This window comes from Homo sapiens, chromosome X (assembly GCF_000001405.40).
Source record: "Homo sapiens chromosome X, GRCh38.p14 Primary Assembly".
Lineage (NCBI taxonomy): Eukaryota > Metazoa > Chordata > Mammalia > Primates > Hominidae > Homo > Homo sapiens.
The window spans coordinates 16,436,900-16,463,578 of NC_000023.11; the positions used below are offsets into that span (position 1 = coordinate 16,436,900).

At 41.9% G+C, this 26,679-nt stretch overlaps 1 long non-coding RNA gene across 1 annotated transcript, besides 3 other annotated features; it reads right to left on the minus strand.

Moving 5' to 3' along the window:
• Window positions 1-477: 477 nt before the first annotated feature.
• On the minus strand, window positions 478-26,560 carry LOC124905249 (uncharacterized). Its single transcript, XR_007068397.1, has 2 exons — window positions 25,944-26,560; window positions 478-2,162 (listed from the first exon to the last, which is right to left on the minus strand). It is a non-coding gene; the product is annotated as an uncharacterized LOC124905249 (long non-coding RNA).
• Window positions 8,378-8,577: an enhancer, noted in NCBI's record as "active region_29453". NCBI's record gives its function as "activates an Ori minimal core promoter by ATAC-STARR-seq in GM12878 lymphoblastoid cells {active_cell/tissue: GM12878}" and the evidence as "EXISTENCE:reporter gene assay evidence [ECO:0000049][PMID:35858748]".
• Window positions 9,647-10,172: an enhancer, noted in NCBI's record as "H3K27ac hESC enhancer chrX:16464669-16465194 (GRCh37/hg19 assembly coordinates)". NCBI's record gives its function as "activates a minimal SCP1, AML or CMV promoter by ChIP-STARR-seq in naive H9 embryonic stem cells {active_cell/tissue: H9 hESC(naive)}" and the evidence as "EXISTENCE:reporter gene assay evidence [ECO:0000049][PMID:30033119]".
• Window positions 10,173-10,698: an enhancer, noted in NCBI's record as "NANOG-H3K27ac hESC enhancer chrX:16465195-16465720 (GRCh37/hg19 assembly coordinates)". NCBI's record gives its function as "activates a minimal SCP1, AML or CMV promoter by ChIP-STARR-seq in naive H9 embryonic stem cells {active_cell/tissue: H9 hESC(naive)}" and the evidence as "EXISTENCE:reporter gene assay evidence [ECO:0000049][PMID:30033119]".
• Window positions 26,561-26,679: the final 119 nt, after the last annotated feature.

A 26,679-nucleotide genomic window follows, 5' to 3' on the forward strand; every position in this document is an offset into this window, starting at 1 on the left:
CCAATAAGCTTCTTTTCTCATCAAGGTAATGAGGGTAGCTTAAAGTGATTTGCAACCAAGAACTCCGGCAAGTTTTCACAGAAAAAAAAAAAAAAGACTGAAGAGAAATATATCAAAATGCCAACATTTTAGAATTAAAGTAATTTTTATTTTCTACTTTACGTTTTTCTGTCATTTTCAAATTTCCTAAAGTGAACATATATCTTACTTTTAAAGTTAAAATGTTAGTAGAGATAATAAAAATAATACTAATTGATGGCAATTGGTTTATTAGTGAACCAATTTTTAGAAAAGTAAAGTACTGGGGAATATTTAAAAGGTATGTTTTGGTGGTGGGTAGGAAAAGTTTGAAGTACAGAATACCTGTTTAGGACAGTGCACTTAGGTGAGACAATGAGAGCTCTTCTAGAGAGAAAAATACCTTAAAAGGGTGTCTTAGCCAGCTCAGGTTGCAATAACAAAGTATCATAGACTGGGTGGCTTAAACAACAGAAATTTATTTTCTCCCAGTTTTGGAAGCTGGGAAGTTTAAGATCAAGGTTCTAGCGGATTGCAGATTCTGGTGGTGCCACAGCTTTCTTCCTGGCTTGCAGATTACTGACTTTTTCCTGCATCCTTACATGGCCTTTCCTCTGAGGGCACAAGGAGGGGGAAAGAGAGAGAGACCGCACATGAGCATGAGTGAGCGCATGTGCGGGCCAACCCCAGTGTCTTTTCTTATAAGAACATTAATCCTATCAGATCACGGCCCCACCCTTACAACTTCGTTTAACCTTAATCACTTCCTTAGAGGCCACAGCCACACTGGGGGTTAGGGTTTCAGCATATGGATAGGGAGGTGGGGGTGTAAACACAGAGGGGATGAGACATCAAAGAAAAAATTACCCTGGTTCTGACACTTTCAGATCCCTGTATAAAAAACAGGTGTTGGGATGGGAAATATTGTCTTTTCATGACATTCGGCATGATCTTGGGGGTGCATGGCTAAAATAGTATGGTAGACAAGATCTACCATACTTAGACAGAAAGTCAAGAAATGCAGTGCTCACATCATCAGAAAGATCATCAACATAGACACAGCCAATCCTCATTATTCACAGATTCTCTGTTTGCAAATTTGTCTACTTTCTAAAATTTATTTGCAGCCCCAAAAATCAATATGCTTGGAACTTTAGCAGTCATTCGCAGACATGTGCAGAGCAGCAAAAAATTTGAGTTGCCCAACGTGCACGCCACCAGCTGAGTCAAATGAGGCGACACTCTGCCTTCTTGTTTCAGCTCTCAGGCTATAAACAAGTGTCCTTTTCACTATTTAGTGCCATGTTTTTTGCATTTTTGTGCTTTTTGTTGGTGATTTTGCTGTTCAAAATGGTCCCCAATGACTGGGTAGGGTGGCTTACACCTGTAATCCCAGCAATTTAAAAGGCTGAGACGGGTGGGTCACTTGAGCCCAGGAGTTTGAGAGCAGCCTGGGCAACATGGCAAAACCCCATCTCTACAAAAAATACCAAAAAAAAAAATTAGCCAGGCCTGCTGGTGGCATGTGCCTGTAGTCCCAGCTACTCTGGAGGCTGAGATGGGAGGATCACCTGAGCCCAGGGAGGTCGAGGCTGCAGTGAGCCATGATGGCACCACTGTACTCCAGCCTAGGTGATATGGTGAGATCCTGTCTCAAAAAAACAAAAAACCTAAAAATGGTCCTCAAGCTTAGTGCTGCCTAGCACTCCTAAGTACAAGAAGGCTGTGATGTACCTTATGGGAAAATAAATAAATAAATACATAAATACATAATTTGTGTTAGAAAAGCTTCTTTCAAGCATGCATTCTAGCTGTAAGTTCAATGTTAATGAATCAACAATATATATTAAACAAGGTGTCTTTAGACAGAAACATATATAAAACAGGGTTATGTTTGATCTATTCATGACAATGTAGTTACCAGAAGCTTGCAGGAACTTGTGCTTTTCCCCTAGGAACGATGTTTAGTATTCACTGATTCGGTGTTCATCGCAAGTTTATACACCCTAACTACCCCAAATAATGAGAATCAACTGTATTTAAATCACCAGGAATTATGCTGGAGCAGTGCTGGAAAGAATGACAGGAAGCGTTCTTCCTTGTACTCTTCAAGAAAGAAGAATGACCCAGGACTCTGGAGATGACTGCAACAAGAAAGAGGAGAAAGTGGTGAAGTCTGATGGCATGAGATGCAAAGCCAAAGGACATTAGGAAGGAGGAAGAAATTTCTGGAAGAATCAATGAGGAGCAATGAAACAATCAATGGGAACTAATATCAGAAATGTGAGACAGCAGGGGTAGGTTTGTGACAGAAATTTTTTGGCTCTTAAGTGGCACTAAACCTCACTATGGTATTCATCATCCCTCCTACGCTCTGTAATGGGAGCCCTGATTCTCCCCCTCTTCACATAGCTACAATAGCGGGTCACCTCGCTTCTAAATCTTCACATTTGGAAAAAGAAAAGAACAGCTTCATAGTACAAAGGCATAATTCTGCTTCACAACTCAGTATGTTACAAAATATAATCCATTTTCCTTTGCCATTTTTACATAAACACTTTTATTATGCCCATAGAGAAGAAAGGTTACCTTTTGAGGGAAATTATTCATGAGGGAAAAAAAATTAGAATTTTGAACAAGCCATTTAGGTGACCTATAGAGATGTGTGAAAATAGGATTTCAATCTGTATTCAATGACTAATCCGAAAAGATGAAAACGTAATTAAATTGCAGTAGCACCCCTCAGTTTAATTTAACCTTTAAGGGGCCTGGTCAATGTTCTCTTAAAATTAATTTCAACCTGTGACTTTCCAGGGAACAGAGAGAAATAGAACTTATACTTAAATACATGCATGCATATTTATAAACATAGTTTATTTACCTTTATGCTTTTTCTCCCAACAGGTAAGTCTAGATTGCTTTTTTAATTTATTTATTTTACTTTAAGTTCTGGGATACATGTGCAGAATGTGCAGGTTTGTTACATAGGCATACATGTGCTATGGTGGTTTGCTGCACCTATCAACCCATTATCTAGGTTTAAAGCCCTGCATGCATTAGGTATTTGTCCTAATGCTCTCGCTCCTCTTGCCCCCCTCCCCCGCCCCCGCCAACAGGCCCCAGTGTGTGATGTTCCCTTCCCTGTGTCCATGTGTTCGCATTGTTCAACTCCCCCTTATAAGTGAGAACGTGCAGTGTTTGGTTTTCTGTTCCTGTGTTAGTTTGCTGAGAATGATGGCTTCCAGCTTCATCCATGTCCCTGCAAAGGACATGAACTCATTCTTTTTTATGGCTGCATAGTATTCCATGGTGTATACGTGCCTCGATTAGAAATTTACCAAAAGTTTAATATCTCACAAGTTCAAAAAAAGTGTTCAGAGCTTGCTTTTCTCTACTTATTTTGGGTTTATCATTTCATTCCTTTTAAAAATATTAAAGAAGTAGAAATCAAATTATGTGCCAGTTTGACAAGATCCTCCCACCTTTAGGAACAGAAAAAATTTAATAAATTGTCATCACTAGCCTGAAATGATTGAATATATAATTTACCTAAAGTTTAATAAAATAGCTGAACTAGGACACAATGGGGAGAAGTGTTTCATGAAGAAAAATGTGGACTAATTCATATGAGAATTATTTTAAAGGCATACTTGGAACTCTTGCTTGATTAAGTTTAAGAAATAGTAACATTGCCAAGGGCTGGCACAAGAAGAAGGAAGCAGACACTCTCCTACACAGCAGTGGCAATTTAAGCTGTGTCCAAATTTCTAGAAGGCAATTTGGCAAGATATATCAAAAGCTGTAATAACAGATGTCCCCATTGACCACAACTGCCACTTTTCTTGGAATTTATCTTAAGAAAATGAATGAAGGATGTAATAAAATTTTGCACAACATTGATTACTCTGTTGTTTAAAATTAGAGAAAATTAGAAACAATGAAAATGCCTAACAATAAAGAATTGCTTAAATCGCAGGGCCCTCCCTCTCCCACCCTCACTCCCTTCAGTCTATTCTCAGTGCAGTGGCCAGTGTTATCCAATTAACAAGCAATGACCTGATGGTCACATCACTCGTGTGCTCCAAAGCCTCCAATGGTTCCCCTCACTCAGGGTCAAAGCCAAATCTTTACCATGATCTAGCACCACATTTTGCATAGTATAGAGTTGCTATTTAAGTGGCTCTTCCCTACAAGGGTATGTGATCCAGGTAACCTGTGGTCTTCACCTTAGACACAGAAGAGTCTAGAATTTTAAGTAGCTCCCTCTGAAAGTATATTCCAGATGATATTAGCCCTGAGAGACACATAAATGTTTAGTATTTTCTACAAAATTCTGAGTAGATTTGAGATATTGAACAGAACGCTGTTTTTCCCTATGAAGTGACTATTGAGTTCTGTATCACTATCAAGTGACTATCATCCATCATCTAGACTACTGCAAAGCTGCCTACTCCATTTCCTGGCCAGCCATTCCCTGTCCTCTCCAATCTATTCACCACAGTGCATTGAAAGTAATCTCTTTTTTAAAAAGCGGTCATAATTTCCTCATGCTTAAAACCTATCAAAGCCTTCCCATTTCTCTACATATCAAGATCTAATTTACTGATGGTCAAGGTTCTAGAACATTGCTATGTAATGGAAATATATTGGGAGCCATGTATGTAATTTTAAATTTCATAGTAGCCATTTTTTATTTTAAAAAATAGAATTAATTTTAATACTGTATTTTATTTTAGTCAATATTTTCAAAATAGTATCATCTTAATATGTAATAATTCAAAAATTATTGATGAGATGCTTTACATTCAGTTTTTCATAGCAAGTCTTTAAAATCTGGTGTGCGTTTTACCCTTACAGCACAACTCAAATTGGACTAGCCACCTTTGACATGCTCCATAATCCATCATGTCATGTGGTTAGCAGCCACCATACTGGATAGTGCAATTCTACAAGGTCAGGACCATGCCTACCTCTTTAGCCTTCTAATAAGATTCATGCTATAGGTATATCTAACCACCAGGTTCTCCAAGTTGCCATTCTCTCTTTCCCAGTCCTTTATTCATGTTGAGTTTTTATACAACAAATAATTTGAAAGAAGAAAAATAAGCAAATTTTTAAATAGGCAAAAGATTTGAAAAAACATTTTACCAAAAATATATACAAATAGCTAATAAGCAGATGAAAAGATACTCAACAACATTAGGCATTAGGAAAATGCAAGTCAAAACCAAAATAAAATAGCATTTCACAACCACTAGAATAGTTATAATTTAAAAGACAAACAGTAACAAGTATAGATGAGGATGTGAAGAAACTGGAAATCCTCATACATTGCTACCAAGATTGTAAAATAGTACACTTATTTTGGAAAACAGTCTTGTAGTTTCTCAAAATGTCAGAGAGTCACCATATGACCCAACAATTCCACTCCTAAGTATCTACCTAAGGGAAATGAATGAAGATGTATGTTTATAGAAGACATATGTCTCTACAAGACTTGTAGAAGCAATCAAAATGTTCATCGATAAATAAACTGTGGTATATTCATACAACACAGTACCATTCAGCAATAAAAAGGGACAAAGCACTGATACATGCTACAACTTGGATGAATCTCAGAAACATTATGCTAGTAAAAGAAGCCAAACACAAAAGACCACTGGATGTTAGGTCAGTGGCCTGGACCCAGCTCCACTAATCACTACCTGTGTTACATTGGCCAGCTACTACACCATTCTAAGATACAACTTCTGCTTCTGCAAAAGTCAGTTTAATAACAAGTGCCGTTTCAAACTTAAACAGCCTTGCACATCAAGAGAGGCAGCATATAAGAACAAGCCTTAAATGGCTTTTCTCAAAAATATAGAGAATAACAAGTGTTGGTGAGGATATAGAGAAAGAGGATGCCTTTACATTGTTGGTGGAAATGTAAATTAGTATAGCCATCATGGAAAATGGTATGGAGGTTCCTCAAAAAACTAAAACTAGAACTACCATATGATCCAGTAATCCCACTTCTGGGTATATTGCCAAAAGAATTGAAATCAATATGTCAAACGGATATCTGCACTCCCATGTTTATTGCAGCACTGTCCACAATAGCCAAGATATGGAATCAACCTAAGTATCCATCAACAGACGAATGGATAATTACAATGTGGTATATATACACAATGGAATATTATTCAGCCATGAAAAGAAGGAAATTCTGTCATTTGCAACAACATGGATGAACTTGGAGGACATTATGCTAAGTGAAATAAGCCAGTGCAGAAAAATAAATACCATGTGATCTCATTTATATGTGGAATCCTAAAAAGTTAAACTCACGGAAGTAGAAAGTAGAATGATGGTTACCAGGGACCAGTGGTAGAGGAAAAGAGAGAATGGGGAGCTGTTGGTCAAAGGGTACAAAATTTCAGATAGACAGAAGGACTAAGTTTTGAGATCTATTGCACAGCAGGGTGACTATAGTCAATAATAATGTATATTTCAAAGTAAGAGTAAATTTCAAATGTCACACAACAAAAAATGATAAGTGAGGTGATGGATATGTTAATTCATCTTGATTATCTTGATTTAATTATCCCATATTGTATACATACATCAAAACATCACATTATACCCTATAAATATGTACAATTATGATTTATTAAAAATAATATGAATAAAAATAAAATAAGAACATACTCCTTAGTTAGAAATGCTCCATGGGTCCAGAGTTGCTAATCATTGCCTTCCTTTCTGGTTTTCCTTTGCACTTTGCTCCAATGTTTAATTTAGTCCATTGGGATCTGCAAATTATATCCCAGATGCTATAGGACAAGGAACTACTTGATCTCTTTCAATCCAACTGGAGAAATGTACACTGAGCAAAGTCTATATAAAGGGCTTCACTCGGCTAAGCACTTGATACCTTTATTCCCTGAGTATCTTGAATGACCTTTCTCCAAAGCTGATCATAGTAGCTTGATTTAAAATAAAATGTGTTATTTCTAAAGTTGGCACAAAATCTAAGGGATGACATTTGTTCTCTTCTTTATAGTTTTCCTGTATTTTTTTCAGCTTTTCACAAAGAACATGTATTACTATTATATGTAGTGGAAGGTGTTATTCAAAAAGAAAACACTTTAATGCTGATTCCATTTTAGACCAAACATATATTGCTAGTACTTTCAAAACACTTACTAAATCATAGACCCTATCATAAGAAATGTGTACCTATTAATCCCCTCAACAACTCCATGAGGTAGGTTCTATCATTATCCCTTTTCGAGAAAATAGAGACACAAAGATTAAGGAACCTACACAGAGTCACACAGCTAGTAAGTGATGGAGCTGGGATTTAAGTTCAAGCGCTTTGGTTTTCAAGTTCATGCTTTTAACTAGTATTCCAGGAGTGAAAAACGAACGTGACTGCTATTACTGTCTCGTATGGCTCTAAGGGTCCAATTACACAAGCAGCCTGCCTTGGGAGCAAATTATTGGTCTCTTAGGCTGTGGAGTCCTGAAGGCAAGAACTATGTCTCATCCATCTGTGTTTTCATTAGCTTTTGCTGCGTAACAGTCCACCCTAAGCTTAGTGACCTAAAAACTACAGCCAACTACGTGACTCGCAATTCTGTGGGTTGGCAATTTGGGCTGGGCCTTTCTTTTGCTGGTCTTCTGCTATACTGAGTTAAGCCGTGCCAGTTGGCTGCTGGTCAACTAGGTGTCTCAGCTTCTGGAAGTTGGCTGGCTGTCAGCTGAGGTAATAGGAGCCCCTGGGGTCACGGATCTCTCATCATTCAGCAGGCTAGCTTGGGCTTCCTCACACGACAGCAGCGGCAGGGTCCCAAGAGCCTCAAGAGTGGATATGCCCCAGTGAGCAAGAGCTTTCAGGTCTCTGCTTGCATCACATTTGCTATTGACCCATTGGCCAAAGCAAATCAAATGGCTATGCCCAGAGTCAATGTGGGAGGGGACTGCCCAAAGGCATGGATACAGACAGGTAAATAATTTGTGGCCATTTATGCAATCTACCAATATCCCCATAATCAAACACAGAACCTTATAAATAGTAGACATGAAATAAATACTTATTGAACTGAATGCTATCTCCCCTTCATGAAAAATCGAGATAAGACCAATAATCTCTTTCCTCTCTACACTAAGTACACCACATCAAGGAGACAGAAGAGGCTGGCTGACCCCTCCTCACAGAGGGTTACCTCACCCTGGGTGATGGAGCCCATCACTTGACAGTCACCTCATAACCATGGTCTTCTCAGCTCCTGGGGTGAGGGGTGCGTTCTTACTGGTGGCTGCTTCCCTAATGCTCTTAGGATGGCAGGACTTGCTCTTCTCAGTGGTTCCATCAAGCTCCCAAGGGGAGTCCCTTGGCCCCCTGCTTCTGCCAAGTCCTGCAGTGACACCTTTATGAAGCAGCTCAAATTAGCAGCCCTGCTCGCCCTCTAGTGGTTTCTTAAGGCTGTACAGCCCTTTGAAGAAAAGTGTTCGAGGCCTTCTACAACTGTACCAGAATAAATAATTGCGGGTGCTTTGGATCAGTGGTTTTCAACAGGGCGTGATATTTTCCTGCAGTGGACATTTGGCAGTGTCTGGAGACATTTTTGGATGTCACAGCTTAGGGGTGGAGGCTGGCATCTAGTGGGTAGAGGCCGGGGATGCTGCCAAACATCCTACATTGCACAGGACACTCCCATAACACAAAATTGTCCAGTCCAAAATGTCAATAGTGCCACAGTTGAAAGATCTTGCCTTATATTCAGAGTGAGCCCTCATTTGTTTTAAGGATGCACCCACAGGCCCACCCAAGGTTGTTCCATGGATGGATCACCCACTCTGGGAAGAGTCAATCTGTAGGAAACAACCCTAAAGTCTCAATGTGAAACTTAAATCTCAGGAACAATTCCTGGGGCATCCCATGATTCTCCAGGTTGGACAGACAAACTAAGCGCTAAACAGGAGCTTGGTTACAGGCAAGAACATCTTACTGTCTCTTTCCATTATCTATGCTCAATCCCATTGATTCAGAGAGCAATTTTCTCAGGAAAGAAAAGTGCTTTAAAGTTTTTATTGTAAGCCAACTAATAGCCCTAGGAAATAAAAATGTCTTCCAGTGGAGAATTGCACCGTGGGACTTCTGTGTGAACCATCAGAAACCTTTGATAAAATTTATATTAGTTGTGTAAACTAAAAAAAAAATTCTAAGCCCCCCAACCATCTGAAAGGACCCCTTCTCTCAGCCAAGGACATTCCAAAGAACCTGAAAAACTAGTTCAGGCAATGATGGGATGCCGGGGCTGGCGGGGTTGGGGGGCAGTGGGGGGCATAGTTGGACATGCCTCCTTATACCCGCCTTGCTTTGGAATTCAGGCACAACTGACCAGCATTCACATTACAATAGACATCTTAAGACTTTGTAGCAATAAGACACCGAATTCCAGCCTGACTCTATTATAGCATCACTTGACAGATAGCAGGCCCTGAAAGAAATTGAAGTATTTTACCCTAAAATATATTTTTTGACATATTTTGAAATGGCCCTGCAATGCTGTCTCTTGTGGGGAAAATCTACATTCTGGAAAGAATCCCTTTACTTTTCCAGGTCTTCGTCCTGATCCAGGAGAGAATTAACTAATAGTCTGGCACCTTTTTAAGTCTAATAAGAAATATTTACAATCTATTTTCTCTGAAGCCTGCTACCTAAAGGCTTCATCTGCATAATAAGAACCTTGGTCTCCACAACCCCTTATCTTAGCCCAGACACTCCCTCCCATAGATTCCAGGCCTTTAGAAGAAGTCTTTCAACCAATTGCCAATTGGAAAATCTTTGAATTCACCTCTGACCTAGAAGCCCCCACTTCCAGTTGTCCCACCTTTCCAGACCAAACCAATGTACACCTTACATGTACTGATTGATATCTTATGTCTCCCTAAAATGTATAAAACCAAGCTGTGGCCCAACCACCTTGGGCACATGTTCTCAGGACCTCCTGAGGCTGTGTCATGAGTACGTCCTTAACCTTCTCAAAATAAACTTCTTTTTTTTTTTTGAGACGGAGTCTCGCTCTGTCTCCCAGGCTGCAGTGCAATGGCGCGATCTCAGCTCACTGCAACCTCTGCCTCCCAGGTTCAAGTGATTCCCCTGTTTCACCCTCCCTAGTAGCTGGGATTAAGGCGTGTGCCATCACACCCGGCTAATTTTTTGTATTTTAGTAGAGACGGGGTTTCACCATGTTGCCCAGGTTGGTCTCAAACTCCTGAGGTCAAGCAATCCACCCACCTCAGCCTCCCAAAGTGCTAGGATTACAGGCGTGAGCCACCGCACCCGGCCCTCAAAATAAACTTCTACATTGATTGAGACTTGTCTCAGTTCCTTTTTGGTTTACAGTTGCAAGGAATAAATGACAGGCATCCGGTTTTAACAAAATAACACTTGTTCCATGCAGGAAGAGAATTTCTTAATGTCAGAGAAAGAACACCAAGAGCCGAGGGAAGGAAAGCTACACAGACACTGATTGCTGTGGCAAGTCCATGTAAAAAGCAACAGGAAATGAAAGCTTTCACTCTAAGCTTTTAGCAATGTTAATTAGAGGAGAGTGGCTGACATTTCCCTAGAATGGAACATAAACTAAAATTTACCTAGGAATTTTACTTCTGAAATTTTCTCAGAAGAATTCAACAGTAAAGGTGCTTCTTATTAGCTCTGGACTTTATTCCTTATCTACTATTTTCTTATACTCCCTTATGCTAGTAGCTAGGAAAATCCTCCTCACTCATTACTTCAAGATCCTCATTCAAGAATGAGGCAGGGAGGACAAGCAGGAAATGAAGCGTTCGTGGCTCCTGCTGCTCTTTGCTTTCTCCTCTTCTTACCAGATCCTGAGGCTTCCAAACACCCTGCTCTCCCTCTCCTCTCTTCTTCCTCCTGTTTTCTTCACTTCACCCTTGCTGGACCCCAGAACCCCTGAATGGCAGAAACCCCAGGCATGGCGTGGAGATATGGTCAGCCTTGGGGTTAAAGGTACATCGCTCCCTCCACGCCCCCCAGGGTTTGCTGTGTGGCTCAGATAGGACTTGGGAAAAGGCCTTCCTGCTCTGATCATTCTCCCAATGCAAGGCCAGCTCTGGGATTTGGACCCATCCAAGGAAGAGCCAAGAGTCTGTCCCCAGCCTCTTGCCTTATGAACCCACCTCCTATGTTGGCCCTGTCCTCTAATATCCTCTACACTGGCTGCTACCTGTGACTGCCTAGACTTCTCCAAGGCTTTCCAGACCTTGCCCATAGTAAGCCATGGAGCAGCAGTCAAGTAGCACCCAGGCTCAGGCCTTAGGGGAAGAGTTTCTCAAGAAAAGTTCCCCATTGGGTTCCTGATTGGGATTCCATCACTACTGGTTATTATTCCAGAGGCATCTTACTTCAGAGAGACTTTAAGGAACAATGAGGCTGGGCTCTCTGTTTAGGTCAGGAGCCACCTCTGGCTGAACTTAATTTCCAGGATGTCACAATAAGGTCAGAATCCCTGTGTCAAGTGGTAGCTATGGAGTGGAAAGAACAAAGACAGCTTACAAGCTCAGACAAAATGGTGACCTGAATGTATATGGAAAACAACATGAGCTTTTGAGTTATAAAAAGCTCTCTATTGAGGGCTTATTCTGTACTAGATACTGCACTAGGCATTTTATAAACATTTTCTCACATGCTAGCTGTGTGACCTTGGGCAAGGTGGTTAACCTCTCTGTTTCTGTTTCCTTTGCCAGGTAGAAATACCTACCTTGAAGAGTTGTTTTGAGGATTAGTCAAAGCAACATACAGGAAGTTCCTGGCACATGGTAGGTATCTTAGCCCAGGCTGCCATAACAAAATACCACAGAATGGGTGACTTCAACAACAAAAATTTACTTTTCTCACAGTTCTGGAGGCTGGAAGTCTCAGATCAAGTTGCTGTTTGATTCAGTTCCTGGTAAGGGCTCTCTCCTTGGGTTGCAGACAGACAGCTGACAGATCTCTCTCTCTCTCTCTTCCCCTTCTTATAAGGGCATTAATTCCATCAAGAGGCCGGGCGCGGTGGCTCACACCTATAATCCCAGCACTTTGGGAGGCCAAGGCGGGCGGATCACAAGGTCAGAAGATTGAGACCATCCTGGCTAACACAGTGAAACCCCGTCTCTACTAAAAATACAAAAAATTAGCTGGGCGTGGTGGTGGGCACCTGTAGTCCCAGCTACTCCGGAGGCTGAGGCAGGAGAATGGTGTGAACCTGGGAGGCGGAGCTTGCAGCGAACTGAGATCGCGTCACCGCACTCCAGCCTGGGCGACAGAGCAAGACTCCGTCTTAAAAAAAAAAAAAAAAAAAAAAAAAAATTCCATCAAGAGGACCCCACCCTCATGATCTCATCTAACCCTAATTACCACCCAAAGGTGCCATCTCCAAATATCATCACTTTGGGAGTTAGGGCTTCAACATAAGAATTTCAGGGGCCACAAAATTCATTCCATAACAAAAGACAGTAAGCAAATGATAGCTAGTATTACTATTACAATTATTAATAATAAAATAGGTATAAACTACTCCTTGGCATTAGGAAAATAGCTACAACGCATGGCTTTGTCTAAATCAAAGAAAATATGGCTTGAGCACCCACTCAGCTGAATGGGTATTGGCAGAAACTAAAGCATCAATTTCTTGGTGCCTCCTCGAAGACTCTCAGTGCTGTAGCAGTGCTGAGCTATTTCTCCCTTCTGTGTCTTGAGACCTCTGATGAACAGTTCCCCCATCACTGATTGGGCACCATTGATCTGGTCAGCTGCTACAGCGCCTGCTAACCATGATGCTTTCCACCATCAACAGAGCATTCTCTGTGATCCTTCCACATCTAAAGTGCTACACTCCTGTGAGTGCCACTGTCTTCAATTGTGGAATTTCCATCCTGGTCCCTCTTCCTTATCCCCAGGATCCATAGCACCCAAGAATCAAGACTCTTCCCTCTTTAGACTTCCAAGCAGAAGTCTCCACCCACGCCCTTTCTTTGATAGTCCAACCCAGTTATGGGTTACCTTCAGGGCAGCCTTCCCACATCCCCAGTAAATTTGTCTTCTTCCACCCTGAGAAAGGTGAAAAGTATGTTTATTTCTGTCTTGATCAGCCTCAACTTCAAGTGAATAAGTCAAAAGTTAACTTGTCAATCATCTTCTACATGATTTTCAAAAAGATATTTGCTTACAAAGAGATACGATGCCGTAAAATTTTAAGAAATTTAGTTTAAGAGGAATAAACATCCTCATTTGTTTTCATGATATGTGGAATATGTTTTTTTTTTCTTGGAATATGGACTCTTTTAGGTTCTGAGAGGCCATCTAATCTATACTCCCAGATGAAAAATTAAGTTTTATTTCTCTCTGTCAATTAAACCCTTTGCCCTGCACTGTGCCAACAGAACATCCAGTGAAAAGAACATCAAGTTGGGCCTCAGGAGATTTGGACTCTGGACCAAATTTACTCACTATTTGAGGTTTCAGCTTCCCCATCTCTAAGGCTCCTTCCACCCTTAACATTCTGTATTGTTTTAAGAAACAAGATCCTGAATTCTGAAGTGGTTACAACATTCATCTAAATATGGCATTCTGTTCTACAATAAGCCCCCTTTCCAAACGTCTACTCTAATTCAAAGAGCAGTGAGAACCATCACTAATCATGAAGTCCAGCAAACACTGATAGAACTCCAACAGAATTCTTGATGAGTTCAAATATTTCAGAATTCCTCGAGCACCCATGGCTTTGTGCCTTTAACCAACGTTTTGTACATATGTTCCTCTTATTTATCACTGCTTTCTTAGGCATGAGTCTTAATGGCTATTGAACTATTGTGGAAAAGGGGTAAAATTTCAACATAGGTAGATATATGTTTGCTTTCTTGGAGCCAAACATTACCTCTGATTTTATTACCCAGATATAATATATAATCTTTGTGCTGAAAAGTGAAAATGAAACACAAAAGTGAAGGCTGTGTGACTGAAATAAGACTTATGCATTCGGATATAATGTATAAAGTAGAAGACAGTATCTAGCATAAATCCTCTAATATCTCTCCTATAGTGTGCAAGAATCTGGGAAGCAGAAGTATGGTAATTCAGGCTCATGGTTTTCCTATCTGGAAAACAAGGATAAAATTGTGGGTCTCAAAGGGAAGTTGTAAAAATAAAAATACATTTGAATCAGAAGTATTTACTGGGCATCCAGCCTGTATTCCACCATGCTGGGCCAAGAGGAGAAGCAGGAGAGCAAGAAAGTCCCTGTGTCCAATCTCACAGGTGGCAGCCTCTGTCCTCTCACCATAAGCAGGACTGAGCACTCTCCTCAGACATCATAAAGGATCCATTTGTGCTAAAGAATCAGTGAAAATCCACTGATCGTCTCCTGAGGAGATGAATAAGAAATCTGCACTGCACAGCACATAGCACATCTCATAAAATTTCCTATAAATACCTCTCCCCAAGTCTTTTCTCTGAGCCATGCAACTCCTGGGCTCATCTTTTTCCTCCAGCTCAGATATCACCATCTACCCTACTTATGTGGAAAATTTTCCCCATGTCCTGGCTTCTTTCTTCAGTCTTGTATAGCCCCACCCAATGGTGAGATCATAAGTTTCTTACAGTGAGGGATCATGTTTGTACTTAACTTGCACAATGAAAAGTACCTTTATAAAAAATCTTCAATTCACTCTATGATAGCAGTCGGCAGGCGGGCAGGTGCCGAGAGCTGGAGGCACCCCAAATGCTTTATCCTCAGTAAAATGGCCCCTCCATACCTAAGGAATCCTGCCTGTTGGGTGGCAGTAACAAGACTAAAGAAAGAAACCAGGACAGGGCTGAAATCTTCCCAGGGGAGGAATGAAAGAAGGGGAGAAGCCGCCTGAAGGGATAAGTGGTGTCGGGGCTGGAGCTGGGAAATTGAATGGCTGAGAGGAGAGACTTGGGAAGAGACATTTATAGAGATTTTTTTGAGTGTGTTGTACAAGGCACTCAAGGCCCTGGCACAGAGTACAGATTTTACATGCAAGCAGCAGTAGAAGTGAGACAATTGCCCAGAATGTGAATGGGCAATGGGAAGGAGTTCAAAATAAGGTGTTAATTTTTTTATTTATTTCTTTTTTTTTTTTTTTTTTTTTTGAGATGGAGTTTCATTCTTGTTGCCCAGACTGGAGTGCAATGGCGCGATCTCGGCTCACTGCAACCTCCACCTCCCGGGTTCAAGTGATTCTCCTGCCTCGGCCTCCTGAGTAGCTGGGATTACAGGCATGTGCCACCACCCCAGCTAATTTTGTATTTTTAGTAGAGACGGAGTTTCTCCGTGTTGGTCAGGCTGGTCTTGAACTCCCGACCTCAGATGATCTGCCTACCTCGGCCTCCCAAAGTGCTGGGATTATAGGCGTGAGCCACCGTGCCCGGCCAATTTTTTTATTTCTTAACGTGACTGGATGACAGTTCATAAACATCTCCCACCCTGGAATGACTCTCACCTCCCTCCAAATATCCTGTGCGTCCTTCAAGATTCAGATCAATTTCCAACCATCCCCTCCCTGAAGTCTCCTCAAACCCTCTGACCACAGTGGCACTTCCCCTGTCTCAATTTAGAGGTATAATTTGTAATGTTGAACTGCCGTTTTGGGGTTTCTTCCTCTCCTGCCATCCATCCAATACACAGTTGTGGGTCACTTCAACGATGGGAATACAATCCGAGAAATGCTTCTTTAGGTGATTTTTGTAATTGTGCAAACATCATAGAGTGTACTTATACAAACCTACACACCTAGGCTATGTGGTATGGCCTATTGCTTTAGACTACAAACCTGCACAGGATGTGACTACTGAATGCTATAGGCAGTTGTAACACAATGTTAAGTATCTTTTTTTTGCATTTAAACATAGAAAAAGTGCCAGGTGCGGTGGCTCATGCCTGTAATTCCAGCACTTCAGGAGGCTGAGGTGGGTGGATCGCTTGAACTCAGGAGTTCAAGACCAGCCTGGGCAACATGACGAAACCCTGTCTCTACAAAAAATACAAAAATTAGCCAGACATGGTGGTGCACATCTGTGGTCCCAGCTACTTGGGAAGCTGAGGCAGGAAAATTGCTTGAGCCCCAGAGGCAGAGGGTGCAATGAGCTGAGATCGCGCCATTGCACTCCAGCCTGGGTGACAGAGTGAGACTCTGTCTCTATATTTAGAGTAAATAAATAAATGTAGAAAAAGTACAGTAAAAATGCGGTATTATGATCGTACAGGACCACTGTTGCAAATGTGGTTTATCCTTGACCAAAACGTTATGTGGGGCGTGACTGTATTATTATAGAAGCAATCCTTAACCACAGTTTTTATCACGTCATACCTCCACTAAAAAAAAAGAAAAAAGAAAAAAGAAAAAATTGACTGGCTCTTCTCTGCCAACAGGATTTTTAAAACTGAAGGAAATAAGTCATTTATGATCATGACGAACGTATTCTGCAGATAATGACCCAGTACCTCCCCTATATAAGCATTTTCCCAGAGCCTGAATGAATGTGGCAAGCTGTCAAACTTCAAGCCTATTTTAATACTCTTTCACAGCTTATGATCCTGGCTTACTCGTCTACCTGTCAATTCTATGCAGCCTCCAAAAACCCAGAGCCATGGAGGACAAAATTTAATGCTCACATTAGTGTTTTTCAAAGCCTAGTCTAGGCCAACAAAGAACTACTCACTGTATCAACCACAGAAGTATGTAAGTGTCAGTAAAATGATTCTAGACCCCCTTTGGAAGCAATCATTCTGTAACTTCCATTGCTGGATTGTCGTGACCACCATTTAAATATTCCCAAACCTGTTGACCCAATCTAGTTATACAGTCCTCATTAGAGGATTTTCCTGAAAGTTTATTCTAACATTGGATGAAACTCAAAGGGGCTGGAACCAAAATTACAACTGATTAAAGTAGTATTTTCAACCCGAACTGCACATCAGAATCCCCAGTACCCGCTGTGAGGGCCAATTAATTCAAGATCTCTGGAGGTGGGCTTGCACATCAGCATTCAGATTCTAAAGTGTAGCCAGGGTTGGAAACTATTGCCTTGGAGGGGCTGCGTCTTGCTATCTCAATAGAAAGGGGGCATGCCCAGGCCAGCTTCAGGAACTCTGTAAGACATGGAAGCACATCAGCTCCTGAGAGGGCTGGCAAGAGCAAGAAAGGATGCCAGCTTCAGAGAACCTAGGCACTACACTGAGGACTGAGGCAGGAAGACACCAAAGAGGAGTAAGACATCTGCACCCCAACCACCCATGCTGCCTCCTGGAGGAAGCAGCCACGTTTCCGCAGTGAAATAAACACACAGAATCTTTCTGATATCAAGATAATCATGGCTGGGTGTGGTGGCTCACGCCTGTAATCCCAACACTTTGGAAGGCGAGGCGAGATCACCTGAGGTCGGGAGTTCAAGACCAGCCTGACCAACATGGAGAAACCCCATCTCTACTAAAAATACAAAATTAGCCGGGCGTGGTGGCACATGCCTGTAATCCCAGCCACTCAGGAGCCTGAGGCAGGAGAATCACTTGAACCTGGGAGGCGGAGGTTGCGGTGAGCTGAGATCCCACCATTGCACTCCAGCCTGGGCAACAAGAGTGAAACTCCATCTCAAAAAAACAAACAAACAAACAAACCATGTAGCAGTAAAGGGAATTGGTTAAACTTTCCTACAACACTATCTTGCTTCTAGAGAAAAATCTATATGATCTGTAATTCTGCAGGGAAGCCCTGTTGTCCTCTGACCTAATTTAAACCATTATTAAATTACTTCTTCTCAACTGATGTTGAAAACAGAAAAGACCTCGCTGAATGGCCATGTCTTAACATTGATTTTTACACCAACAACTCCTGACTCTGGGGCCAACCTCCCAGCCTGCATTTTCAGGGAGGTTCTGGGTAAACATCAACGAACAAACACAACCCTACACAGTGACACTGAAACTATCTGTCAGGCTTGCTTTAGCTCAATATTCTAGGTGACATTAGGCAAAAGAACAACAATGATTCAGCTCCAGTAATTAAAAACAATTGCAATCTTCAGATAATGGGACATTTTAATTCTGTTATGGTAACTTTCTGGTTTTACAACATTTAAATCATTTTTACACCATCCAGATATTTCTAAAACTTGAATCCAGTTATTGACAACAGACCATTTACATTCTTGTGAATCCTCAAATTGAGAAATACCACAGAAATTATAATTTCCTCCATAACATGCAATAAAAAATAACTGGGTAATTGTAAGTAAGCCTACTGGGCTCTGTGCCTAAGAAAGAAAAACAAAATCTTGTGGTCCTCCTTATCTCTAAAACTCAGGGTCCCACGACCCTCAATCTCTTATTTGTGTCATGCTCCCCCAACACACTCACCATGCTAGCCTGTCCTCTCCCCTCAGCCTGAAGTCCAGCCTGGAGCAAAGCCTGCCTTTGTAGTGCCTAGGTGTAGTGCCTAGGTTCTCTGAAGCTCGCATCCTTTCTTGTTCCTGCCAGCCCTCCCAGGAGCCTGTCTTCCACATTGTCCCTGGTTCTCTTGCCCTCAAATTTAACTTCATTCTCCCCAGATGGTGAAATTCTTCCATTCTGCTCTTCTTGGGAGGTCAGCATTAGGCATTTGAAATAGGAGTGTGCCACACTTCATGGGGCCACTTTGTTGCCTCCACTCTCTCACTGTGTTCATTCCTTTGCCCACCAGCCACAGAGCAAACAATATTCATAGATGTATATTTATATATACACACATGTACATGTGTGTATGTGTTTGTATATAAATATACATATATGTATATATATATATATATATATGTATGTGCATCACTGTGGTCAGTGAAAGAAAATACAGCATCCTTCCTCCCCACAACTTTCCCATCATCTCAACCCATTACTAGTATCTGGTTGTGGCAAAGAGTTGAAAGGAAAAACCACATACAAATAGGAAACTTCATTGTAGTACTACGTATCAACCAGCCAGTCAGTGGTCTTTGAAACCCCAAGACTCCAAAGACACATAATTTAAATGTTTATGGCCCCAAACACTACATTGTCCGTTCCCATTGTATGGGATGTGCAGGATGACACTAACATAAAACTAGTCCCAGAAACTCAAAGCAGGGAGCAAGCCCCTCCCTGCCTCCATTGGCCTTGTCATGCAAGAGAGGGACAATTTGTCCACAGCTTTATTCACTGCCTGTGATTGTTCTGCCTGGAGCTTTGGGATTGCCAGATCAAACTGTAAACTTCTGACATTGCTACCTTGAAAACGAGTGTGGGATTAGGGGAGTGATGGGGGAAGGGAAGGTGAGTGCAAAGAGAGGGAAGGAAGAAGGTACTTTCCTTGACTCAGAGATACTCAAGGATAAAGATTCTTATTGGATTTTTGTGGCTTATAAATGTCACACGAGTTCGTGTGAAAAGACCACCAAACAGGCTTTGTGTGAGCAATAAAGCTTTTTAATCACCTGGGTGCAGTCGGGCTGAATCTGAAAAGAGAGTCAGCAAAGGGTAGTGGGATTATCATTAGTTCTTATAGGTTTGGGATAGGCGGTTGAGTTAGGGGCAATTTTTTACAGGCAGGGGGTGGATCTTACAAAGTACATTCTAAAGGGTGGGGAGAATAATACGAAGTACCTTCTCAAGGGCAAGGGAGGATAATACAAAGTACCTTCTCAAGGGTGGGGAGGGTATATCGTACAAAGTACATTCACAAGGGCAGGGGAATATCACAAAATACATTATTGCAAGGGCAGGGAGGGTGTATTGTCACAAAGTCAATTGATCAGTTAGGGTGGGGCAGGAACAAATCACAATGGTGGAATGTCATCAGTTAAGGCAGGAACTGGCTAGTTTCACTTCTTTTGTGTATCTTCAGTTGCTTCAGGCCATCTGGATGTATACATGCAGGTCACAGGGAATATGATGGCTTAGCTTGGGCTCAGAGGCCTGACAATAATGACCTCAAATAAGTGATTATCCAACCTACAATCAATACCTTCTGAAGCAGCCCATTCTATTTTCTGACAGCTTTAATCATCGGATATGTGAAAATAAGTCTCTAGACCATAAACTCCACAAGGGCATGGATCTTAGGTCATGTTCATAGGTAGGTCTCAAGGGCCTAAACAGTGCCTGGTACAGAGTAGCTGCTCAAAAAATATTTGTCAAATGAATGCCTCCTGGTGGCTTCCCACAATGATTCTATTTCTACTCTAGAAATTTCAAAAGAAATCTGTTTCTTCATTATAACAACCCAACAAACATCTTAAGACAATTGTCATGTTTACCCCTCTTCAAACTCCACTATAATTTTTTTTTCTTTTGCAAGTTAAACATTCCTAGTTCACTCAACTATTTCTTATAGGTTGGATTTCCAGTCCCCACAACAAAGATTTACTGGATGCCTGTTATACAGTCACCAATGGGGAGGGGTGAGGCCATGAAAGAATTCTGGATAGTATCTACTCTATTCATCACAGCCCAGCTCTGTCATCCAACACATTGTCCTAATTTGTCCACCAGAACAGTAATGAAAAGTTTTGGCGAATGGCTGGCAGAAATCCACATGGACAGCATCTACTATTTTTCCCCAATAGAGTTGTCTGGCTACTTTATCCAAGAGGAGGAGGAGGAAAGGAAAGATAAGAAGAAGGAAGGGAGAGAGGGAGGGAGGGAGAAAGGGAAAGGAGGGAAGGAAGGAAGGAAGGAAGGGAGGGAGGGAGGGAAAAGGAAGGAAGGAGGGAGGGAGGGAAGGATGGAGGGAGGGAAGGAAGGAAAGAAGGGAGGGGGGAGGGAGGGATGGAGGGAGGAACGAAGGGAAGGAATAACAGGTGGGAAGGTCCAAATATTAAAAACAAAAACAAAAAACAAATAAACAATGGTGCCCTGGTTTTTCAAGAGAAAGGCTATGAACTTCCCAAACTACAGACTGATGAATTTGATATTGATTCTAAGCCAGAGATCAGCAAATTATTCTCCAAAGTGCCAAATAGCAACTATCAGAGGCTTTTCAGGAAAAAGAAGTGAGGTTAACCTGGCACTACTTCACAACTTCATACCGTGGTTCTCAACTGTGGCTTCATATTGGAATCACTTATGAATCCCCTAGAAATGATGAACTTCTGAGACCCCATCCCAGGGATTCTGATTTCATTAGTCTGGGATATAGGCCGAGCACCAGGATTTTTCAAGGTTCCCCAGTGATTCTAATGTGTAGCCTTGCTAGGCTAATGTGGTCCTTGCTGGCGCTGAGGACCACTGCGTTCATGCAAACTCCTGGGGATCAACACATCTCTTTTTAAGGACTCACAGTCTTTTTTTCTTTTAAGCCTATTCTAGAATATTGCATCTGGCCCTCCATCCATTTTTGAATATCAAGTTGTGTTGGCACACAGCCATGCTCATCCGCATACACATTGTCAGTGTCTGCTTTCACACTCCTGCAGCAGCGTGGAGTCGTTGTGACTGAGACCATGTGACCCACAAGCCTCAAATAGCTACTTACTCTCTGACACTTTTGAGAAAAGTTGGCTGACCTCTGGCTTAGAATCAATATCAAATTCACCAGTCTATAGTTTGGGGAATTCATGGCTTTTCTCTTAAAGAATCAAGGTACCACTGTTTGTTTATATATTTGTCTTTTTTTAAACTTTTAAGTTCAGGGGTACACGCGCAGGTTTGTTATATAGGTAAAAGCATGTCACAGGGGTTTGTTGTACAGATTATTTCATCACCCAGGTACTAAGCCTAATACCCATTAGTGATTTTTCCTGATCCTCTCCTTCCTCTCACCCTCCACGTCCAGTGGGTCCCATTGTCTGTTGTTCCCCCGACGTGTCCATGTGTTCTCATCATTTATCTCCCACTTATAAGTGAGAATATGCAGTGTTTGGTTTTCTATTCCTGTGTTAGTTTGCTAAGGACAATGGCTTCCAGCTCCATCCATGTTCCTGCAAAGGAAATGATCTCATTCTTTTTTATGGCTGCATAGGACCTTCTTACCTGTTACTCTCCTGAACCCTCTCCTACTCCTCATGATTACTTAGAAAGCCTGGCAATAAGGTGATTTTCACAGTATCACTTATCACAACACTGAAGAAGAGATGTAATAGATTTTATTCTGATGTATGAATGTATGTAATAGGAAGCCTTTTAAGATCACCTACAGTAGCATTTCATAATTGTTATATACACGAGGTTATTGACCAGAATGAGCATGTGTTTCATCAGTGTTTACATATTTCCTATCTGAGCATCCCACATACTGTATGCAGCCAAGCTTCCTACTCTACTCTCTGAAGCTGCAAGCTATTAAAACTCAAGATTATGATATATAACAAGTAATATTTGATATATAATGTCTACTATTTAACATACACTGGATGGTACATAATAGGCAATGTACGTCTGTGAGGCAGTTATTGTTGCTGTGGCACTGGCTTTTGGACATTTTTGGATTTCACTCTGCAGGCGTTTTTAAAACTTATGATCAATGATCCATGAAAAATGAGCCCTAAAATAAACCTGTGTTTCACTTTAGGCATGAATAGAATATATGGGAAGACACCTGTAAGCATATCCACCCCACCTGCCTTTACCTAGATCCTTCTCATATTGCATAATAATAATCTGAATTTCTGAGATCATTCAGCATGATCTGCTGGTAGCACAGAAGGTGCAGATGGATGACATGTGGCCAGAGCATTTATAATTCTGTGTAATGCATACGCATATCGCTTTACTCCAGGTGCATTAGAATTAGGGATAGTTTTGTCTCTCACTTGCACAGTAAATGTGGGCCTTCGTAGAGACTCATTTTCCATGGGATATTGATAAGCCCTAGAAATTTCCACAGCTGGAGAAACTGCATCACGGTGTGGACCTACTTCAATTATGGACTTGCTCTGGTCCTAATAGTTGCAGGTTCAAAGAACACAGCATTGAGGTAGGCTGCTGGCAGCCCTCAGATATTAAGTACATGAACATGCCTCCCACATGGGAATCACTCTCATTTCAGTCAATAACCCTTGAAGAAAATGGAATCATTAATTGGAGTAGTAAAATCTGAGAAAGCATTTTAATGCACTTACTGCGTGAAATGTTTTCACCATTAGAAAGTCCTTTGATTGAGGGGAAGAAAACTGCTGAGAATTTTCAAAATCTAAATGATCTTCAGAGCTACTCCTAAGCCTTTTACTAGCTTGATTTAAATCACAAGTAATGAATGACTATACAGTGTACCCCAACATAACATATACACAATTTATTAATATATATTTTGACAAGAAGATAAAGGAACCCATTCTGATTACCTTAAAGTCCCAAATATTCAGAATACCCAATGGCTCATGTGTCTGGTCTTGGAGTGACTGAGAAAGCTCCTCCCAGTCCCACCTCAGCTGAACTCCCATCTCATCACCAAGTGGCATCTGGCCCTGCTTCCGGGTCCCTCAAGTTGTGACAGTCTGAATCATCCTTGATTTCTGGAAATCCACTTTAAACCATCGCGAAGAGCTATCGATGTGCTTTGAGTACTGAGTTGATGTTTTTTGTGATCAAATTCTTTTCTAAAAGAATTCATCTATGGTGGGTCTGTGGTATTGTTCTCTCAGCCAGAATATTTAATTAACCAGAAGAACCCATTTCCATGTGTAGCTTAACTAAGTTTAGTACATCAAGTCACAGAAAAAAATCATTGTTCGGATTCCACCCTGAGCAGGGAAGACCGTACTCTGTTCTTTCCCCCATCAGAATGTGCCATAGCCCAGCTAACAATGGTAGAGGGGGGCTTTTACCTCAGTCCATCACCACATCTCAGGTAAAAACAGCAGAGGTGGAATCTGACCCTGGCTTGCCTGGCTCCAAAGCCCATGTTATCTGCACCTCACAATAATGTTTCAAATTATGTTTTTGTTGTTGTTGTTGTTATTGTTGTTTTGTTTGTTTGAGACGGAGTCTTACTCTGTCACCCAGGCTGGAGTGCGGTGGCACGATCTCAGCTCACTGAAACCTCTGCCTCCCTGGTTCAAGCAATTCTCCCGCCTCAGCCTCCCCAGTAGCTGGGATTACAGGCGTGCACCACCACGCCTGACTAACTTTTTGCATTTTTAGTACAGGCGGGGGTTTCACCATGTTGGCCAGGCTGGTCTCGATCTCCTGACCTCAGGTGATCCACCCTCTTCAGCCTCCCAGAGTGCTGGGATTTCAGGTATAAGCCACCGTGCCTGGCCTCAAATTATGTTTTTTAAATGTACCAAGGCTGCTTGTTAATTAAAATAAGACTGGGATAAATCTTTTAATAAGACAATTAACCACCTGACACTCTCTTTGGTCAAATCCAAAGTTAAACAGAGTCACCATATGACTCAGCAAGTCCACCTAAGGTAGATATCCAAGAAAAATGAACACATATGTCCACACCAAAACTTGTACATGAATGTTTACAGCAGCACTATTCCAATAACCAATAGGTGGAAACAAACCAAATGTCCATCAACTGATGAACGGATAAACAAAATGTGGTATATCCGTACAGTAGAATGTTATTCAGCCATAAACAGAAATGAAATTCTGATATATCCTACAACGTGAATGTAACCTGAAAATGTTATGCTAAGTGAAAGCTGCCTGACACACACACAAAAAAAACCATGTACATGTGAGTACATTTATATGAACTGCCCAGAAAAGGTAAATCTCTAGAGAGTAAAAGTGGATTCATGGTTGTCGGGAGCTAGGGGTGGTGCAGGGAATGGAGAATGGGGAGTGACTACTAATGGGTATAGGATTTCTTTTTTGGGGAGATGAAAATCTTCTGGATTACATTGTGGTGATAGTTGCACAACTTTGTGAAAACACTGACTTGTAAACTTTGAAAGGGTAAATTGTATCGTATGTGAATTATATCTCAAATGTAAAGGAAGGGAGGAAGGGAGGGAGGGAGGGAAAGGGGGAGGGAGGGATGGAGGAAGGAAACTAGGAAGGAAGAAGGAAGCAAGCAAGCAAGCTTTCAGGCTAAGGGAGACTAAGGAAGAAACCAACTTGAAATGGGATGCGGGAGAGGCCTCCCCAAGGCTAGGATTCAGCCTTCACTGGAGAGGATGGGCTACAGCCCACTTGGTGGAGGAGAAGTGTGTTGGGTTGTCCTGGGGTTGCACTGGGCCAGAGCTGGTCTGTGTACTGAGAGCCCTGGCCAGAAACTGTGGGCCACAGCTGGCAAGCTGGAAATCCCCCAACATGGGCCAGCAGGCCAAGGCTGGTAGGAAGGAAACTGCCCACTGGAGTCCTGATAATTCATGACAAAGTTTCCCTTGGGGAATGCTGTTGAATTTTCTGGGAAGCTGCCATGGCTGGACTCTCCAGAAAATCACAAAGGTGTCACCTGCAGGGGGTCCTGCTGAGCTCATGGGGAAGCCAGCCGGGGCACCTATGGAAGAGGTTGTCACTGAGCCCCACCACAGCTGGGGCACCTGCAAAACTTGCCATGAAGCTGCCCATGGAGTGCCATTGAAACTCACTGGCATGAGCTCCACTGGGTATCCCACATGCCCAGCCCACTGCCACAGGAACAAGGAGAAGCAAAGCATACCAACGCTAGAAAGAGAAGCCCTACCCTTCTCCCGAGTCATCCCAGCAGCCTCTACCAACAAAGCTCAGCATCACGCCAGTCAGCAAGGGGAAAACATCCCAGAATCACAATCTGGGCAACAAAGTGTGGGTTTGGAGCTGAGGGGCAAAAGATTGATATTAATGGCTATTCTTTAACTACGAAAGGAGTTTGTGTTCAAATAAGTTTGGAAAACCCTACTTAACACACCACCCTCTTGATATACATTATTAGCAGTGCTAACATGTTCTATGGGAACGCACCTTATTTAACTCTGCTTGACGTAGCATTTCCAAAATTCACTTGATCACAGAACTCTGTTCCTCCTGATCATTAACACCCACGCTCTCTGGGAAACTGCTCCGAGTGTGGTGTGGTGAAACTGGCAAAATAACCAGAACAGGAAAGAAGCCACGGCGGTTGGAGAGCAGCTTGTGCGCCTTCACTGAATCACATGGAGCCGTCTGCTGCTGAAGGGATTCCTCTGGAACAGAATGCACACAAATGGAGTCATCTGGCTGGGCTCCCTCATGGCATTCCATCATTTTATTTACTGCACACAAACCATAAGCTCTGCAGACACTGTGGAAATACAGTTTATTTAGGTAACTAAAAATATCCCCCAAATGGCATTTGGCCATTGCTGCATTTCCCAACTCCTCTGGCTTGCCCAGGCCCTGCTCTAAAAATTACCCCTTGCTGATCCAAGGAAAAGAAGATGGCATTTAACAACCAGATTGATGGTACTGAGGTCAGGGGGCTTGGGACGCCATAATCCTGCCTAGCTACTCAGTCAATTTTCCCTTTTTGAGATTCCTAAGGGAATCAGACGTACACAAAATCACAAATGAGAATCAAAACAGTGTTTTATTATCTGCCCGCTGGAAAGGGCAAAATGCAGCTAAGAAAAGAGTGAGCACACATGGGCTGTGTGGGGAGAGAGCCGCTACATCATTCAGTCATGGGTTCAAAACCCAGTTCACTCCATTTCTGGGCAGC